General features: G+C 40.6%; 1 annotated feature.

Annotated features, from left to right (window-relative positions):
• Positions 3,347 to 4,182: an enhancer, noted in NCBI's record as "NANOG hESC enhancer chr5:36359316-36360151 (GRCh37/hg19 assembly coordinates)". NCBI's record gives its function as "activates a minimal SCP1, AML or CMV promoter by ChIP-STARR-seq in naive H9 embryonic stem cells {active_cell/tissue: H9 hESC(naive)}" and the evidence as "EXISTENCE:reporter gene assay evidence [ECO:0000049][PMID:30033119]".

A 6,000-nucleotide genomic window follows, 5' to 3' on the forward strand; every position in this document is an offset into this window, starting at 1 on the left:
TAGATATTTGTCTTTATATATATGTATAATATTGATAGAGCTATAATATAGATAGATATGGATCAATTTATCAATCAATAGATAGATTTATTTTAAGGAATTGGCTCATGAAAGTATTGGGCCTGGGAAATCTGAATTCTGCAGGGAAGTCCAGCAGCCTAGAGACTCAGGGAAGAATTGCTGTTGCAACTTGAGCCTGAAGATTGTCTGGAGGCAGAACTTCTTCCTTGAGGGACCTTTTTTTTTCTCAATGTTGTCAACCGATTGAATGAGGCCCACTCACATTTTGGGGAATAATCTGCTTTATTCAAAGTCTACTGAATCAATGCCAGGTGCAGTGATGCACACCTATAATCACAGCACATTGGGAGGTCAAGGTGGGAGGATCACTTGAGGCCAGGAGTTTGCAACCAGCCTTGGCAGCATAGCGAGATCCAATCTCTGAAAAAAAAAAGAAAAAAAAAAAAAGCCTACTGAATTAAATGTTAAACATATCTTAAAAATACCTTCACAGCAACATCTAGGCCAATGTCTAACCAAATATCTGTGTATTATAGCCAAGACAAGTTGACACGTAATGGTAACCATCACATCCTCTGATTAATAAATCACACTTCCCCTTTACTGAGCCTCTCCAAATAGGAGGACAGAGGTGTCCCTAAGGAGCTGTCTAGCTTTCCAAGTACTTTTTTCTACCTCTGTCAGCTGAATTAAGATTTTCTTCAAAGGAAAATGCAGCACTCAGATAAATTCTTTGAATTTAAGAGGTTTTGTTCAGGAACTTGGAAATAATCAGTTTATAAGTGCAGCCTAAAATATTTCTGTCTGTAATTTTAATTATCTTGAGTTTGCAGATTGTACTAAAATAGCTAGCACCTATTTTCTTCCACTTAAAATGCTCCAGAATTTCTGGCAAAAGGAATAAGCTATAGGAGAAAACAAGTTTTTCATATTTTCATGCATATAGATTTTAATTTTCTTATCTGCAAATTTAGGAAGTTAGACTACATTATCTCTAAAGTCCTTTTTAAATGCAGTGTTTTTGAGTTCATAATCATAATGAGTAGAGTGAGTAGCCACTTGTCCCATGGAAGAGTAGAATATAGGTGTGTGTAAGGTAGGGGCCTGCTAGGTATTTTGTTTTTACATATGGCAATGACTCAAGTCACCAAAGCACAGTTCTGTTCTTTTTCCTTCCTTGTCATCACTCCCCACACTCTACCATTCCATCGTGACTGCCAAGAACAAATAATCTAGGTTATCAATGGCCAGGTTCAGTGGCGACCCTGCCAAGTGTAAAACAAAATTTATTTGCATAAACAAGAAGACCTGGTTTGTGAGCATTGCCACTAGGATCTATACAAAGGGACTGGGAGGGATGAGACTGGCTCTTTTTGGACAGATGAGGCTTTGTGGAGCCTTCTAGCCTTATGGAAGGATGCAGGCACTGGACCTGCCCAATCTCAAGGAAGAGGCACCAGGAGAATCCACCCAGAGACTTTTGAAGGAAGCATTCTGGAAGATAGAGCTGGTGTGCATTTCTCATCTTGAATCCTCTGAAAAGCTGGTGTCAGCCAGTACAGCTGAGAGACAGGAAAAACATGTCTGAGATAGCCCACGTCCCCACTGTGCGGTGTGGCAAAGGCATGTGAGATTTCCATGGGCTCAGCATGAGCTATAGAAGTTGGTGAGCCCTAGAATCTGGCTGCTACCCAGGCCTATAGCTGCGGGATGACTAGAGATGGGTTTCTGGGGGCAAGGGAAGGAAGTGCATTCCTGTGGGTCTGTCCATATCTAAAAGCTATGCAGAGGAGCACATTAAGTGCACCACACATTACAGCTTGCAACAGACAAGGACAGATCGGCTGGAGGCAGCCAAAAAGCAGACCAAAAGCCAGATGCAGAACCTCCCCATCACCAATATTCAGCCAGGTTCCTGAGGCCTCTTCCTTCTTTTTCTGAGGCTGAGGCTGCCAGGAAATGATCAGAGTGAGGGCCTGTGGGAGCTTAAGAGTCAGACGGGAGGAAGGGGCAAGCAGAAACTCAGAGGGAGTGTTAAACTAGATGAAAACTGGTAGTAATAATAATAATAATAATGCCTGTACTTGACCGAATGCATACTGGAGAGAGATCCTGTTACAGTTCAGTTCAAAGGGGCTAAAAAAATGACAGGGTTGGCCTCAGCTGTCTAAATTGTCCTGAATTCAGTTTTCCTCTCTCTAGGCAGATATGAGGACTAGTCAAAGAAATGTGCACACTGATAAAAACAAAATGAGATTTATATTTGCACATCACCGCTTGGTGACTTTGCAATGCGTATACGCTGCATGGAAAGTTCTAGAATGATTCTTTTAAACCCAGCATTATCTTTCAAAGATATTTAAGCATGGCAAGTGTTTGCCACACTTGTTTATGCCGAGTGGTTTTATATGGACTGATTTAATCCGGCTGAATTCAGCCTTGCTTTGCTAATTTTGGTAACCTTCCCAGTGGAAAGAAGGGCTGAGACGATTGGAAAGAGTTTGGAAAAGGGGAGAGGGGGCTAGGGTGGTCGTTAGTAAATCTGTCTTCAGACTGCTGGCTGCTACTTCTTAGAAGGACAATTTGACCAAAACAAAAGGTCAGGTACCTGTTGTTTCCAGGTGAGAGAATGTTTATTATACATAATGCCAGCATACAGGTGGGACCCAGTAAATGATAATAGCTTCTTCTGTTATTTGCAGATGCATAATCTTTCATGGCATCATCACTGCTAGGAGACTTCTCTTAAAGTGGCTCAGCCAACTTCATACCTGAGTTCCTGGAAGAAGTTGGTCAGCAGGGGTGGCCCCATGACCTTCCAGTGTGCAAGGGCATTAGTGCATCTGGGTAGATAATCCTGTGCTTCCGATTCATTGGCCCTGTGTCTAGTTGTTTTGCCTGCATTTCTTCCCGTAGGAAATTCCTAGTATGTGCTAGTACCCAGCAAATTTACTCTGAAACATTTTTACTCCACAGGGCTTTTTTCTTCTTCATTGATTTTTGGCTTCTGATTTCAGAACTTCTGCCCCAACTAACTGGTAAATGCAGCTGGATACCATCTGGTTTATGTGCTTTGCCATCACAGATGACCTACCTCAGGCAGGTACCACTTGATTTTCCTTTCCTTAAGGTCAGCCAGTATACGGAGAGCACAAGTGGGAAACGTTCAGGGACTTTCTGAATCTAAATTAGCTTTCCTCAAAGGGTGGTATATGCTAAGCCCTGCAGACAGCGTTTAAGTGAAAGATAAGTCACCCTGCAGATAAAAAATATACAGAACAACTGCCATTTAATGTGCACTTGTATAGTCTCTAACGCCCCCAAGAGTCTTCTGGGATGAGGACCCCAAAGTGTGAGGGGATGAAAGAACTTGCTCAAGCCCACACAGCTGGAAAGTGGGTTTGAACCCAGTCCTGCCTGACTTCAGAGTTCACATTCTTGCCTCTGTGCCAAACTGCCTCCCAGGCGCCCTTGACCAAAGAAATAATATGCATTGGTTGAAAGGAGGGATTTTGTGTCGCTTCAAAGGGTAGAGGTGGAATCACAGGGTGAAGCCAAAGGAGGCAGATTTCAGTTCAGCGTAAGACAAGACTTTTAACCACGGGAGGTGGCCAAAAAAATGGGATGAGCTATTTTGCAAGCCAGTGAGTTCGTGGCCTAGAGGGATTTGCTCAAACTCAGACAAGTGCAGATCTGTGCTACTGCCCGGAGCATTCCTGCTTCAGCTGGGAGGTTGGACTGCACAATTTTTCAGGCTCTCCCAACTCAAGAGTCTATAGTTCTGTGATTTTTAGAGGACATGTCGCAGAAAGGTGACTTCTGTTCCTCAAGCATGCCAGGTTCATCCCGGAAGCTGTTGTAGGCCTACACTTGCTGTGAGGCCTCTGGGCTGGTTCTATCCTCTGCTGAATGTTCTCTCCAACACGATTACCCCCAGGCTAACTTTACCTCCACATCTTTTCAAAGAGGCCTACCAGACCACCCTATTTAGAATTTACCCTTTACAAAAAGTGCATCTCTGCCAGCACTCCCAATTCCTCTTCCTCTGTTGTAACTTTTTTTTTTTTTTGGAGCACTTATCATCACCTTTTATACTATGTAATTTACTTTGTTAATTCATTAATTGTTTATTGTGTTTCTTCCTCTGCCAGTTCTGTGGGGCCAAGGTTTTTTGTTTTTTAAAAAAATTTTGCATCCTAGTACCTAAATGGTCTGTGTGATGTTGTAGGCAATCAATAAATATTTGTTGACTAAACGATGGAACCACGCAGGGAAGTCTGAGCTCAGGCTGTGCTGACACCCAGGTAGACAATGTTGGGTAAATCACTTCACCACTCTGGTCTCAGATTCCTCTTGGCGTCTGTACATCTGTAAAAATAATTGTGTGATTTTAAAATTCAATTGGGTGAGTTGTTGCATGCCTCTTAAAAATACACCAGGTAATTTCAAATGAACACCATACAAATGTAAGAAGAAAATATGGCAGTCATCACTTTTGAACCACACTTTGGTCTTTCTGCAGCTGCGTGGCTAACCTAAGCCTTTTCACACTCAGGTTCTTTGTTATTCTGAGAGCCATTTATTATTGGAAACACATCACTGAAAGATAAATCTAGTGACCAGTGCACTTCCTGTATGAACCCTTATGCTGGGGATTTTCCACTGCTTGGTTACTGCTTAGGGGAAAATTTTAGAGCAGCAGGAAAAAACATTGATGATTTGCTCCTGTTACTGGCATAAGTCATGATTGGCACCTCTAAGCACACTGGGGATATAGCAGCTAGTCTGATTGTTTGTTTGTTTTTTTTTAATCCACACACATTTTGTGAGTTTTACTATTATTTTCAGGTGTAGTTAGGTGGCTTCACAAGAATATGGGGGAAGCATGTTATATGGGCTATGTGAAAGTATATAGTTGTTAGATAATCATAATTATTAGATAGCTAGATATTTGTCAATCTAATATATGTACAGTCATACATCACTTAACAATGGGACTATGTTCTGAGAAATGTGTTATTAGGTGATTTTGTCATTGAGAGGACATCATAGAGCGTACTTACACAAATCTAAATGGGATAGCCTTTTGCTCTTAAGCTACAAACCCGTTCAGCATATTACTATACTGAATACTGCAGGCAATTATAACACAATAGTAAGAATTTGTGCATCTAAACACATCTAAACATCAAAAAGGTACAGTGAAAATGCTGTATAGAAGATTTTTTAAAATGCTAGACTGTATAAGGCACTTACCATGAATGGAGCTTGCAGGACTGCAAGTTGCTCTGGGTGAGTCAGTGAGTATGTGAGGAGTGAATGTGAAGGCCTAGGACAATGCTGTACACTACTATAGACTTCACATACATTGTTTTCTTAGACTAAACTGAATTTATTACTTAAGAATTGTTTTTTCTTCAACGATGACTTAACCTTCGCTAAATGTAACTTTTTAACTCTACAAACTTTTTAACTTTTTGACTCTTGTAATAACACAGCTTAAAACATGAACACATTTTACAGCTACACAAAAATATTTGCCCTCTTTATATCCTCACTCTAGAAGCTTTTTTCTATTTTTATAAATTTATTTCTTCTTTTAGTTTTTAAACTTTTTTGTTAAAAATGAAGACTCAAATATACACATTAGTCTAGGCCTACACAGGGCCATGATCATCAATATCACTGTCTTCCATCCTCACATCGTGTCCCACTGGAAGGTCATCAGGGGCAATAACATGCATGGAGCTGTCTTTTCCTATACTAATGCCTTCTTCTGGAATCTCTCCTGAAAGACCTGTCTGAGGCTGTTTTACAGTTATTTTTTTTTTTGTAAGTAGAAGGAGTATAGTCTAAAATAACAATAAAATATAGTATAATAAATACATAAACCAGTAACATAGTCATGTATTATCATTACCAAGCATTATGTCATGGACATAATTGTGTGTGCTAGACTTTTATACCACTGGTAGCAGC

Source organism: Homo sapiens, chromosome 5 (genome assembly GCF_000001405.40).
Source record: "Homo sapiens chromosome 5, GRCh38.p14 Primary Assembly".
Classification (NCBI taxonomy): Eukaryota; Metazoa; Chordata; class Mammalia; order Primates; family Hominidae; genus Homo; species Homo sapiens.